This window comes from Homo sapiens, chromosome 7, assembly GCF_000001405.40.
Source record: "Homo sapiens chromosome 7, GRCh38.p14 Primary Assembly".
Classification (NCBI taxonomy): Eukaryota; Metazoa; Chordata; class Mammalia; order Primates; family Hominidae; genus Homo; species Homo sapiens.
The window spans coordinates 30,979,644-30,993,048 of record NC_000007.14 but is presented as its reverse complement, the minus strand read 5'-3'; the positions used below and the strand labels follow the sequence as shown (position 1 = coordinate 30,993,048).

The 13,405-nt window shown below is 51.8% G+C and overlaps 1 long non-coding RNA gene across 4 annotated transcripts in view, besides 3 other annotated features; it reads right to left on the bottom strand.

Moving 5' to 3' along the window:
- LOC105375222 (uncharacterized) overlaps nt 1-9,225 on the bottom strand; it is a 46,023-nt gene extending 36,798 nt beyond the window's left edge. For all 4 annotated transcript variants that reach the window (XR_001745156.2, XR_927160.2, XR_001745155.2 and 1 more), the window contains exon 1: nt 8,690-9,225. This is a non-coding gene — a long non-coding RNA (uncharacterized LOC105375222). The remainder of the gene's footprint in view (nt 1-8,689) is intronic.
- Nucleotides 2,377-3,157: an enhancer, noted in NCBI's record as "H3K27ac-H3K4me1 hESC enhancer chr7:31029507-31030287 (GRCh37/hg19 assembly coordinates)". NCBI's record gives its function as "activates a minimal SCP1, AML or CMV promoter by ChIP-STARR-seq in primed H9 embryonic stem cells {active_cell/tissue: H9 hESC(primed)}" and the evidence as "EXISTENCE:reporter gene assay evidence [ECO:0000049][PMID:30033119]".
- Nucleotides 8,056-8,581: an enhancer, noted in NCBI's record as "NANOG-H3K27ac-H3K4me1 hESC enhancer chr7:31024083-31024608 (GRCh37/hg19 assembly coordinates)". NCBI's record gives its function as "activates a minimal SCP1, AML or CMV promoter by ChIP-STARR-seq in naive H9 embryonic stem cells {active_cell/tissue: H9 hESC(naive)}" and the evidence as "EXISTENCE:reporter gene assay evidence [ECO:0000049][PMID:30033119]".
- Nucleotides 9,191-9,350: a silencer, noted in NCBI's record as "silent region_18074". NCBI's record gives its function as "represses an Ori minimal core promoter by ATAC-STARR-seq in GM12878 lymphoblastoid cells {active_cell/tissue: GM12878}" and the evidence as "EXISTENCE:reporter gene assay evidence [ECO:0000049][PMID:35858748]".

Below are 13,405 nucleotides of genomic sequence, written 5' to 3'. Positions count from 1 at the left end.
GTCCAGAGATCTGTCCCAGTCCCTGTGTCAGACAGCCCCACCTTCAAATCCCAGCTCTGCTAGCTAAGAGCCTTAACCTCTGTGACACCCAGCTCTCTGTTGGTCAAAGGGGGGCCATACCTATCTATTGTGATGGCTAAATAAAGTGTGGAAATTCACCAGCACAGCGCCTGACATTTCACTCCATAGGCACTTGCCAAATGGAAGCTGGGGTTCCTCCTCTGTGGCCTCCCTGCCCAGTCTTCATCCCTGTCCTCCGAGTTCCTCACAGTGCCTCCTCCCGAGGCCTCTTCCAGGCGTTTGGCTCATAAACAGGCTCTGTGGCGGCGGCGGCAGCAGCAGCAGCAGCAGCAGCCTTAATTTTAGTTCTGGGTTTGGTAATTTCCCGTGATTGCAGGCCCTGTCAGCACAGCGGGTGCTCCAGCTGCTAGGGAGCCGGCAGGCCTTGTCAGGGCAGAGCCGGGCACATGCCCAGGCACAAGCCCAGGCACGTGCCTGCACCCTCAGCACACATGCTCCTGTGCGCACACACATGCGTGCGTGCAGGCATGCACACCATTCCCGCAGGACCAGGAGTGGCAACCTCGGCCAAGCTGGACACGTACTGCCTGTGCCCCTGGTGACACTTACCACGGGGAAGTGGACATAATCACATGTGCACACCAGGCTTCCCTGTGTTGAGCGACAGGTCTGACCATAAGGAGAGGGAGAATGGGGATGAGAACGCTTTAGGACAAGGGCTCTCACTTACCCCCGCTTTTCTTCCAGAATCTTTCTCCTCTCCCTTGCCTGTGGTGCCCAGGAGAGAAGCACCAGAGGAAGGGACACTCTGTGTCTTTTTCGCTCTGAGAACTCCTAAGGATTGTGTGTGTGTGTGTGTGTGTGTGTGTGTGTGTGTGTGTGTTGGGGGGCGGGGCCGGGGCAGTCCATTGATAAATACTTATTAGACATCTACTGTGAGACTGGACGCGGTGGCTCAGTCCTGTAATCCCAGCACTTTGGAAGGCTGAGGCGGGAGGATCACTTAAGTCTAGGGGTTTGAGACCAGCCTGGGCAGCATGACAAGACCCCGTCTCTACAAAAAAAATTTAAAAAATAGCCAGGTGTGGTGGCACATACCTGAAATCCCAGCTACTCTCGTGGCTGAAGCAGAAGAATTGCTCAAGGTAGGGAGGTCAAGGCTGCAGTGAACTGTGATCACATCACCACACTCCAGCCCAGACTGGGTGCTGAGAAGTCACTCCAAGTCCCAGCCTGTGTGCAGCTTGATACTGAGAGACCCCGTCTCAAAACAATTTAAAAATAGGGCCAGCCACGGTGGCTCACACCTGTAATCCCAGCACTTTGGGAGGCCGAGGCAGGCAGATCACTTGAGGCCAGGAGTTCAAGACCAGCCTGGCCAACGTGGCGAAATCCCATCTCTACTAAAAATACAAAACATTAGCTGGGTGTGGTTGTGCACGGCTGTAGTAGTCCCAGCTACTCGGGATACTGAGGCAGGAGAATCGCTTGAACCTAGGAGGTGGAGGTTGCAGTGGGCCGAGATCACACCACTGCACTCCAGCCTGGGCAACAGAGTGAGATTCCGTCTCAAAAAATAATAATAATAATTTAAAAATAATAAAGACATCTACTGAATCTTGACCATGACCTGTTTCAGGTGCTGTGGATGCAGCAGTAAGACAATGGGAAGACCAACAATAACACACAAATACGTAAATGACACACACTTGACCCTCATTACTTGCACATTCCATATCTGTAAATTTGCCTGCTCTCTAACCCCAGTGTCAACACTGGCAGCGCTTCCACCATCATTCTTGAACACTCTCAGAGTGGAGAAAAGCTTGAGTGGCCCAATGCACACCTCCCAGCACAGCCCAAGCAGGGGATGCTCTGACTTCTTGTTGCAGCTCTCAGACTATAAACAAGGGTCGCTTCCCTTGTTTACATACTGTCACCAAGTGGTATTTAGTGTCATGTGTTTCACATTTTTGTGCTTTTTGTTGATGATTTCACTATTTCAAGTGACCCCCCAGTGTAGGCTGGAGTGCTTTCCAGCATTCCTATGTGCAAGAGGGCTGTGATGTGCCTTACGAGGAAAACGTGTGCCAGAGAAGCTTCACTCAGACATGAGTCACAGTGCTGTTGGCCATTAGTTCAATGTTAATGAATCAATAATACATATTAAATAAGCTATCTGTAAACAGAAACAGACATGAAACAAGGTTATGTATCGATTGTATCGATCAGTTGACAAAAATGTGACCACAGGTTCACAGGAGCCTATACCCTAGGAGCAATGGTTCCATGTTTGCTAACTCAGTGTTGGTGGTGACTTTATGGAACGTAACTACCACAAATAATGAGCATTGTCTGTAATTACTGCTAAGTGCCATGAAGAAAATAAAACAAGGAAATGCAGTGGTGAAAGTGAGTGATGTCACTAGGCAGCCAGGACAGGCCTCTCTGGGGAGGTGATATTGGTACTGAATTGGGGCTATATGGAAGAAGGCAGCCATGGGAGGCATTAGGGGGAGAGTGTTCCAAGCAGCAGCTGAGCTGAAATGAACACAAGCTCAGGGGATCAGAAGACAGCAGGAAGGCCAGTGTGGCCAGAGCGGAGCACAGGGAAGGAAGGCAAAAGAAGCTGAGGTTGGAGAGCTGGACTGGCCCAGGACACCCAGGGCCTTGCAGGCTGCAGAAAGGAACTTGGATTTATTTTTCCCTGGTCAAATCAGAAAGCAGGGAGTGACGGGATCTGTTTTGTCTCTACTGTATGGGCTGTACCCTGTGAGGGCCAAGAGGGCTGTGATGAGAGCTCTGCCGTGGAGCTCAAGGGGCAGCCAAAGCAGCAGCTGGACAAAGGGTTCTGGGCTCAGGCGGGGCTATGCGTGGGGGTCTCTCGTGTGCCTTGCGTGAAGCTCTTCCTGCTGAGGTTGCCTCTGGGGGTCTCCCTGAGCCCTGTGAACCCACAACTCCAAGTCTGGTCTGTGTTGAGCCAGCCAGTGAGCCAAGGGTTTGCTCCCAGCCATCAGATCCTTCCCTGAGCTCTGTGCAGAGGTGAGCCTGGAGAAGCTTCTACACAAGCACACGGTCTATCTTTGAGAGATCAAATTCCATCCAGTGGGTCCTGCACTCTGAGCTCTGGACTCTCCACCTTCACGGCAGCTGTTCCACCTCCCTGGCGTTTCCCTTCCTCAAATTCTATCCAGCCTTTCCAGCCCCACACACCCACCATTGCCTCCCCCAGGAGGACTTCCTGCCTGCTCTGACCCCCAACTGTCAACTGACCTGTGACTTTTGAACCCGCACAGCTCTGATGGCCTGAGTCACACACACACCTCTGTTGTCTGCCCCCAAAAGTGAGGCTTGGGTCTGCCACTCTTCCCCTCCACCCTGTGAGGGCCCCCGGGCACAGCACTGGTTGTGGCGGGTACAGCACTGGCAGTGGTGGCATCGCCATGGCACCAGCATGGCCCGTGGCTCTGCTGGGCGTGGTGCGGGCACTGAGGGGCTCTGGGCTCTGGCTGCCAGAGAGATCACTGCGGGGACGGCCCTCCTCCTGACTCTTCACAGACCACCTCACTAGGAGGCCACAGCGACTGGGAAAAAACCCAGACAGGCTCTGTGAGCCTGTGGTCACAACATTTTTGTCAACTGATTGATACATAACCTTGTTTTATGTCTGTTTCTGTTTACAGACAGCTTGTTTAATATGTATTATTGATTCCTTAACATTGAACTAAGGGGTTGGGGGAGTGGGGGTGTGCAGGGGATCGGAGGACTGAGGCCATGGCCAGAGTGCAGGCAGAGTGCAGATGGAAATGCCCGCAGGGCCTCGGGGGAGGGCCTAGCTGTGCTCCACGAGGGCTCCAACTGGGCCCAGGTTAGGACTGAGTAAGGGGCTGCAAAGGACACGGGCTGCAGGCCGGGTCTGGGGTCAGGCTGGGGCTGAGACCACAACTCCAAGTGTGGTCTGTGTTGAGCCAGCCAGTGTGCCAAGGGTTTGCTCCCAGGTCACCATGGCTGCTGAGCTGAGGTGCCCTGCAAAGAGTCAAGAGGAAGGTCGTCCCCCGCAACAATCTCTCCAGCAGCCAGAGCCCAGAGCCCCTCCGTGCCTGCGCCACGCCCAGCAGAGCCAAGGGCCACGCCGGTGCCATGGCAATGCCACCACTGCCAGCCTTCCCCAGTCCCGTAACCATGGGAATGTGCACAGGGCCTCGGGCTGATTATGCAACGCCTCTGAGGGAGGGAGACTCGCAGGCCCTGACCTACTCCCAGGGACGCCTGCGGGGAAGCTGGAGCCCAAGCAAGTTCCCCAGGGAAGGGAGTGGCAGGCTGAAGGTCACACAGCCCTCCCTCACATGCACAACACTCTACCTGGGAGGGGACAGCCACGAGGGGAAGACAGGAGAGTTAGGGAGGGAGGGAGGGATGGTGTGGGGGATGGGCAGAGAGCACTCCGGAGGAGAATTCTGACAGATGGGGCTAGCTGGCCATCTGCATGCCAGCGGAAAGCTCCGGCCACCTCCAGCCAGCCCCGGGACTCAGATGTTGGTATCATGGAGATGGGGCAGCTGCCTGATGGGCTGCTCTGTTGCTTCCCCACAGCTAAAATCTGGGGCCTCAAAAAGAGAAAGATGCAGAGAGACAGAGAGTGTGCAAGAGCAAGCCAGAAGAGAAAAATCCACACGAGAGAGTCACACAGATGAGGCAGAACAGAGTGTCAGAAAAAAAAAATAATAATATCTGCAGTTTCCTGTTGGTTTCCAAAGCCTGGATCTGCCCCAAAGGCAGCCCTGTTCCTAACAGTTCTAGGGCCAGGGCCTCTGGCAGCCCCAAAGCTGGGAGGGCAAAGCCATAGCAGGATGGCTGGACTGGTTGCCCAGGCTCCGGAGGGCAGGGGACCAGTGCCTGGGGGTTTCGGTTCCTGCTCCGCACCCTGAGTCCTCTCCACCCCGCCCTGTCTGGACTCTCCCTCTGGTCTGCCCCTCCTCACTCCCTGCATCCCACCTCTGCCCCAGCCTCCTGTTTGCAACCCCCAGGCTCCTGCAGCCCCTTCCCCACCTTCATGGCTGGAGGCTCTGGCTCGAAAGTCATCCTTGCCCTTCAACCCCAGCCTTTGTCTTGAGTGACAGCAGTGCCCAGGCTGATGGTCTGTCACCCACTGACCTCACAGTCCCTGCCCTTCCTTCTCTCAGGGACCTTCTTGACCCCCAGCAGACACCCCCTCCCACACCAACATGGAGCCCATGCTACTGCTGGAAGTCACACCAGCTGTGCTGCAAAGCATCCTGTTCTGACCACACCCTTCTGTCCTCCTAGAACTCTTCCTCTGCACCCCCACCCAGCCCTAGCACCGAATACTCCACTCCCTTCCAGCAGACCCTCCAGCAGGGACCCTGTGGCATTGCACAAATGCTCTCTGACAAACACCTACAAGTCCCTGGTGCCTCAGCCTTTGGGGCAAAACCCAACCCTGAATAAGCCCAAGTCACTTTTGTCTGTACCAGATATTCCACCCAGAAAAAGTGGTCTCACTCCAAGTTTCCGCTCTTGGGGGAGCTGGCCCGCCAGCATGGCCTGGCAACTGTATATTCTTCCCTACTGGCTTGTCCTCCCACCTCTGCCGCAGCTGCTTCCGTCTTCTGCACTCTCAAGACCCACCCGCTCTCCACTCCCACCCCCTGTTGGCGCCCACCCCCAGCAGGCCAGGAACCTCACCTTCATGACGAATGCAGGAGCCAGCAGTTGGCCTCCCTCTCCTGCCCACCCCCAGGCCACACACCCACCTGCCAGCCTCTGGGGCAGAGTCCCCTTTCTCAGCCAAGGCCCCCCACACTGGGTTCAGGACCTGCCTTCTCACTCCTTCTCAACCACCCCGCTCCATGACGTGCCCCCCACTTTTCAGTGACTCCCATATCCACTTCTTAGCATTTTTACAGGCTGTCCTCTTACAACAAAACCAAATGACTCCTCCCGCTCCCTTCTGGCTCCCCCCGCCCTCCCAGAGGAGCCTCGGTAAAGGGTTGTTCTCCTGGGCTGCCCCAGCCGCTCCCTCTCAGCACCCCTGAGCCCAGCCTCCGAGTCCATCCTCCGCCAAATCCGCTCTCGCTGTGAGCTGCGCCTCCAAATCCTCTCACAAAGGCGGCTCAGCAGCACTCGGCCGGCTCAGCAGCCCCTCGCTGGGACAATCTTGGTTGGGGCCCCAGGATCCCACATTCATCCGGTTCTCCTCCCACCTCTCTGAGCACTCCTTCCCCTGCTCCGCCTCCTTTGGGGGCTCCTGCTCCCCCGTGGGATTGTGAATGTGTGGATCCCTCCAGGCTCAGCCCTCAGTCCCCTTCTCATCCTGCTCCTCACTCTCACTGCGGGGTGGCCCCACCTATGCCCTTGGCATCAAACGCCACCAATATACTGGCCACTCATGAACTCCACTTCTGAGCTGGGCCTCGCTCCTCACTCCAGCCCGCTCCTTGGCACCCTGCTGGCTGTCTCAGTGCACCCCAAACCCAATGTGCCCAAACTGAGCTCCTGCTCTTCCCCCAAAAGCTTGCTCCTCTCTGTCTCTCCTCATTCCAGTAGGCTTGTGGGACGCCTCCGTCCGTCTTCTTGCTCTCACACAGTTTCACCCCTGAGTTAGACAGCTTTGGACTTGGTCCTTATCTTTTCCATCACTATCACCCTAGTACGTGTCTCCATTTCCAGCCTCCCTGCTTCCAGCGGAGGTCTCTGCCTGAAATTCAGTCTTCGTATACCAGCCAGAGCGATCATTTAAAACACCTAAGCCTCGTCACATCACACACTTCAGTACCTTTTGGGATGAAACCTTAGCATAGCTTTCCTGACCCTGCGTGATCTGGGTGCCGCCCGCTCTACGCTCCCCTTTTCTCCCTAAGATCCAACCACAGTAGCTAACTTGCATCTCTTCCCACGCCGAGCTCCTTCCCACCTCGGGGCCTTCACACGTGCTGTTTCCTCTACCTGGTTGTTTTTTTTTTTTAATCCACTTCTTTTCCTGGCCAACTCATTCTCATGGTTCCAATCTCAGCTTAGCTGTCACTTCCTCCAGGAAGCCTTTTTATTTTTTACACTTCCGGTCTAGGTTTGGTCATCTAGATATTTGTTCTCCCAACACTTTGCTGTTCTTTCTGCATCCGTCACCGTTACTATGTGATTGCTTGAATGGTGTGCTTGCCTCTTGGTGCCACACATCTGTCATGCTTGTGGCCAGCCAGCATATTCTGAACACCCTTCTTGTGCCTGAGAACCTTGCCACAGTAGGAGGGCCCTCTCCAAGCTAGAGGTCTGAGCTTGCTGTACCAGCCTTCCTTGCAGCTAGTGGGCAGGGTCACTGGACTGTGCCATCAGGGGTAACTCTGTGGGACTTAGATCCAGAAGACAGCAATAAGAGGGAGCTGGTGCCAGGTGGAATCAAATTTTTGGCCAGCGTGGCAGGGAAGGAGTTTGGCTTTTCAGGAGAGCCATGTGGTGGTTCTGGCATTCTGTCCCTGGTGTTGGTGGTGTGAGCAGCTGTGTCCATGACCAAAAGTGGTGAAATGAGGAATTTGCCACAGTAGCCCCCTGGTGTGGGATGGGCACTGCCTCTGGGCCTGAGCTCAGGCCCTCCTAGAGACAGGGGAGCTACCTGATGTCCTTAAACTTGTCATGTTTTTGCTTAACTCAGCCAGAGTGGGTCCTGTTGTCTGCAACAGAGAGCCCTAAATAATGCCTTCTGTATCAGTCAGGATTCTCCAGAGAATAAAACCAACATTTTATATACACACCCCTCACACATACACACACACACACACACACACACACACACACACAGTGTAGAAAGAGCTTTATTGTATGGTATTGACTCATGCAATTATGGAGGCTGAGAAGTCAATCTGCCCTCTGCAAGCCAGAGACCCCAGAGGGCGGGTGGTATATTCGAAGGCCTAAGAACCAGGATCCTGGAGGGCAGAAGATAGATGTTCCAGCTCAACATCCAGGCAGAGAAAGCTCAAGTTCAACCTTCCTCTGCCTTTTTTTTTTTTTTTTTTCTATTCAGAACTTCAAGGGTTGGCTGGTGCCTGCTCACTGGGGAGGGCCATGGCTTTACTCAGTCTGCCAATTCAAATGCTAAGCCCTTCCAGAAACACCGCCACAGACACACCCACAAACAATGACTAATCGGATACCCAGGCATCCTGTGGCCAAGTCATATTGACATGTAAAATTGGCCATTGCCAACCAGACCCTAAGCCCCTTGTGTAGGGGAACATTTGGGGGTTGCTTGTAGCTGTATTTTCAGACTCTAGCAAGGTGCGTGTTCCCCAGATACTCAGTGAACACTCACCACATGGATAAATGTGTGCCCAGCAGACCCAGAGCCCTAGCAGGAATGTCATGAAAGTCCCTGGGGAGAACGAAGCCTGGGCCCGATACCACCCTCCTACCGGAACTTTCCTCCACGTATTGCTCTCTAAACTGAGATCAACCCCATTCCGCTTCCTGCCCAGCAAACGGTAGAAAGGGACCACTGCGCAGCCTGGCCTGGTGGGGCTCTAGGGTCTACACTCCCTGCCTGAGTCCCCTCATCCAGGAAGCCTTCCCTGACTGCTCCTGCCCACACTCACACCCAGTCCTCGGAGCTCCCACATCCCAGAGAGTCTGAGCCCGGCACACCAGTTCTCACCTCTAGGTTCAGGCTCATCCTTGCAGATCTTCCCAACATTCCTGGGGGCTCTCTGGGGACAGAGAATGGGCCCTTCATTTTCCTCTCTCCTCCTCTTTCTCACAGAGGAGCCCGAACATAACAGGAGGGAAGTCCGAGTTTCTTCCTTCTCTTTAGGAAACTCTCCTCTCAGGACCCGCGGGGAGGCTGGCTGGAAGGAGGACACCGGGGTAGTTGGGGGTGAGTCCTGCAGAAAGCCTGGGACCCAGGGAAGCCCCTGTGCTCCGGATCTTGCACGGGCTCTCGTGGTCCCTGATTCTCCTGTCTCTTCAGCTCTCACTCTTCTTAATCCGCTTCTTATTCATCAACACTGGGGTCTGGGGCAGGGGGCGGGGGGCGTGGGGATGTCTTGCTCCTCCACACTCCCGCCATGACCCTCCCTCCCAACCTAGGCTGCCCAGACCAGCAGCCCCTTCTCCACCAGCCCCTTCGGCTCGCTGAGCTCCAGTCAGGCCGCAGGGGTCCTGCGTCCATCTCCAGCGTCAGCTCAGGCAGGCAGCACCGTCGGCCCAGCCAGGGCTCTTGGCTGCAGTTAGACTGCCACCTGGTGGCCAGGATGATCATTGCGCTTCTCAGCCTAGCTCGTTGCTTCCCATCCAGTGTCCCTGGTGAGACGTCCTCAGACATCATCTCCTGAGCAACTCCCCCCACCCCCCCGCTCAGTTGTGGAAGCTGGAGTCCTGAGAGAGGAAGAGCTTGCCAGTCAAAGGATCTGCCCAGGAATCTGCATCGTAGGCCCAGTCTGCGAATCCCTGTCATGGGAGAGACAAGAGAAGTGATAGGAATTTGAGGCTCCAGTTGAAACTAAAAGGGAGCAAGTGGTGAACCTGCAGCCATTGTGAAACCTGTAGGCGAGGGATGGACAGTTCACAGAGTGAGCTGCTTCTGCCACTGCCAATATCATACACTCACTGCTGACACTAATGGCTAACTAACCACCAACTAACATTAACTAACGCTAACCACTCACTGCTAACCAGCCACTAACACTAATCACTAATGAACCACCAACACTAACTAGCCACTAACTACTCACTGCTAACTAACCAGTAACACTAACCACTAAATAACATTAACTAACACTAACAGCTAGCTGCTAAACTAACTGGTAACTAATCACCAACACTAACCACTAACATTAACTAATGCTAACCACTAACTAGCCACTAACTCTACCAACTGCTAACCACTAAAATTAGTCACAACTAGTATTAAAGAGCACTAACCAAGCTAACTAACACTAACTACTATCACCACTATGCTAACACCATTACTAACAGTGCTAACACCAGTTAAAACTCAGAGAAACATATAATGATGCCAGCCAGGCACACTGGCTCACGCCTGTAATTCCAGCACTTGGGAGACCAAGGCAGGAGGATTGCTTGAGCCCCAGAAGTTTGAGACCAGACTGGGCAATATGTACTGAGACCCTGTCTCTACAAAAACATTTTAAAATTAGCCAGTATGGTGGTGCATGCCTGTAGTTTCAGCTACTTGGGAAGGCTGAAGCGGGAGGATCACTTGAGCCCAGAAGGTTGAGGCAGCAGTGAACTGTGATCACTTTACTACACTCCAGCCTGGTCTACAGGTGAGACCCTGTCTCAAAAAATAATAACAATGCAGAAAAACTGTAACACTTATATTGTTTGTGCAAGAATTCTCTAGACCAATTTTCTGGGAGGCAATTTGCCAACAGGTACTAAAAGACTTATCATGTGCATTGCATTGGTTCAAACATTCTTCCACATTAGGATAATTTATTCTGAAGGTCTAGGAGTTTAAGTTTTTGTCTTTTTGAGGTATACATGAAAAAAATGTATGCAAGGAAGTTTATCATCACAATTTTTTTTTTTTTTTTGAGACGGAGTCTCGCTCTGTCGCCCAGGCTGGAGTGCAGTGGTGTGATCTCAGCTCACTGCAAGCTCTGCCTCCCAGGTTCACACCATTCTCCTGCCTCAGCCTCCCGAGTAGCTGGGACTACAGGTGCCCGCCACCATGCCTAGCTAATATTTTTGTAATAAATATTTATTTTTAAAATCGACAGAAACTTTCACGAATAAAATATGTTAAATAACTATTGGCTAAATAAATAATATTATATAGACTTTTCAAATTATGTAGCGGAAAAATTGTCTGCAAATGTTCTCCAGCAAACACTCATTTACTCATTTTTAATAACTGCTTTATTGAGATAGAATTCACGTACCACAACATTCACCATTTTAAAGTGTACAATTCAGTGGTTTTCGTGTATTCTCAGAGTTTGCAACCATCATCACGATCTAATTTTAGAACTTTTCATTACCTCAAACAGAAATAATGGAGCTAATATCCCATCGTATGGATATTCCACATTTTGTTAATTCATTCATAAGTTGATGGATGTTTAGGTTGTTTCTACTTCTTGGCTACTATGAATAATGATGTTATGAATATTCATGTACAAGTTTTGTGTAGACATACATCTTCAATTCCCTTGCCTATATACCTAGGAGTGGATTTTCTGAATAATTCAGTGTTTGACTTTGTGAGCAACTGTGCAACTTTTTACCAAAGCACCTGACAATTCTCTGGTCCCACCAGCAATGCATGAGGGTTCCAATTTCTACACATTCTTGCCAATACTTGTTATTGGCTATTTTGTTTTCCTTTTAGCCATCCTCATGGACATGAAACAATATTGCATTGTGGTTTTGATTTACATTTTCCTAATGACTAATGATATCGAACATCTTTTCAAGTGATTATTGGCCATCTATATATAATGTATATTGTTTTAATGCATACAAATCATATGAAATTTTACAAATATAATCTCAAGCTACTTCCAAAACACAGAAAAAAAATCTTTCTGGAAACATACAAAAGTATCTATGGTGAATGTCTTGGTAATAAGATGATGATTGATTTTTTAAAAAATCCTTCTGTATCTCCTAAATGCCTGCAATGAATATGAATTACTTTTATGATTTGAGACTGAATATGATGGGTTTTCAGACTGGGCCCGCACTTTGACATTTGTCTGACCAGGAAGGTGCCAGGCAGCCGGGCGTCATGGGCAACAATGTGGCCTTGGGCTTCATGTAGCTGTGTCTCCATTCCCTGGAACTCTCACGACTGTAAGGAAGGAGGATGTCCATCTGCTGCGTCCACCAGATACACACTTGTGAGCCAGCACAGGTAAAGGATGCCTACTCCTTCTGTTCCCAGTGCATGAGAAAAGATACCTGGTCCAGGCAGGCCATGGAGGACAAGCTAGATCCTCCGTGCAGAGGAGAGGGCCACCATGCAGGGGATCACAGAGAAGAGAGGCACCCAGGCAAGGACCAGGACAAGGCAAATGGCACCTGGCGATCAGCCCGAGTAGGCCTATTCTCTGTACTGGAATCTCCCTCCACCACTGTCAGTCAATAAATAGGTCCCCACGGACAGAGCCTGGGTCTCCTTCTCCTCCCCGCTGCCAAGAAGGAGGTTGGAAGAGGGACAGACTATGTAGATGTGTTACATTAAGGGAGTCCTCAGTTGGGTGGGGGACAGCAGGCAGTATGCTGGGACCCAGGAGGGCACACAATGGGGACGACGTAAGAGAAAGACCTGGAGTTGAGGCATCTCCACTCCAGAGGAAAATAGGGAAAGAGACTCAAGCAATTTCCAGAAGAAGAAACCCAAAAGGCAAGCGGGTACAGCAAGAGATGTTTACACCCATTAGATATCAGGGAGATGCAAATTAGGACAACAGTGCCATGGCACTTTACACCCATTTGGCTGGTGAACATTACAAAGCTGGGTAATGCCAAGTGTTGGTGGGGCTGTGGGACTTAGGGACCTCAAGAGCTGCTAGTGGGAGTGCAGAACTGAAGCATGCAATCTGGCACCTCCGAATCACATCAACAGGTGGCATAACGGATGCCCAGCACTGCTCCTCCTGGGTGTGAGTCCCGGACAGAGGCTCACTCTCACAGATCCTGGAGGGGACCGGCATGTGCATGTTCACTAGAGTGCAGGGGAGACAGGACAGGACAGTAACACGTGGGTGATGACTCTACACAGCACCACATACAGCCAAAACGACAGACCAGATGTATGCAGGGAAACACGGGAGCATCTCTCTCTCTTTTTTTTTTTTTTTTTTAAGACAGAGTTTCGCTCTTGTCGCCCGGGCTAGAATGCAGGGGCGTGATCTCGGCTCACTGCAACCTCCGTCTCCCGGGTTCAAGCAATTCTCCTGCCTCAGCCTACCAAGTAGCTGGGACTACAGGCACCTACCACCACACCCAGCTAATTTTTTGCATTTTTAGTAGAGACAGCGTTTCGCTATGTTGGCCAGGCTGGTCTCGAACTCCTGACCTCAGGTGATCTGCCTTCCTCAGCCTCCCAAAGTGCTGGGATTACAGGCATGAGCCACCGCGTCCACCCCGGGAGCATCTCTTAAAAGCACAGTGCTGAGGGGGAAACGTTAGAAGCAGGATGAGGCATATGACCAACAGCATTTATGTAAATTAAAGTACAGACACACAAAACACCACGTATTTTGCAAGACACACAGAAACACAAGTATTCACATTAAGCATGCTCTCTTTGCCTGTGAGAGGAGGCGAATGGGAGTGGTGAAGGCAAAAGAGAGTACATTTTAAGAATAAATAAAACAAGAGGCCCCTTGCACAGATAAATAAT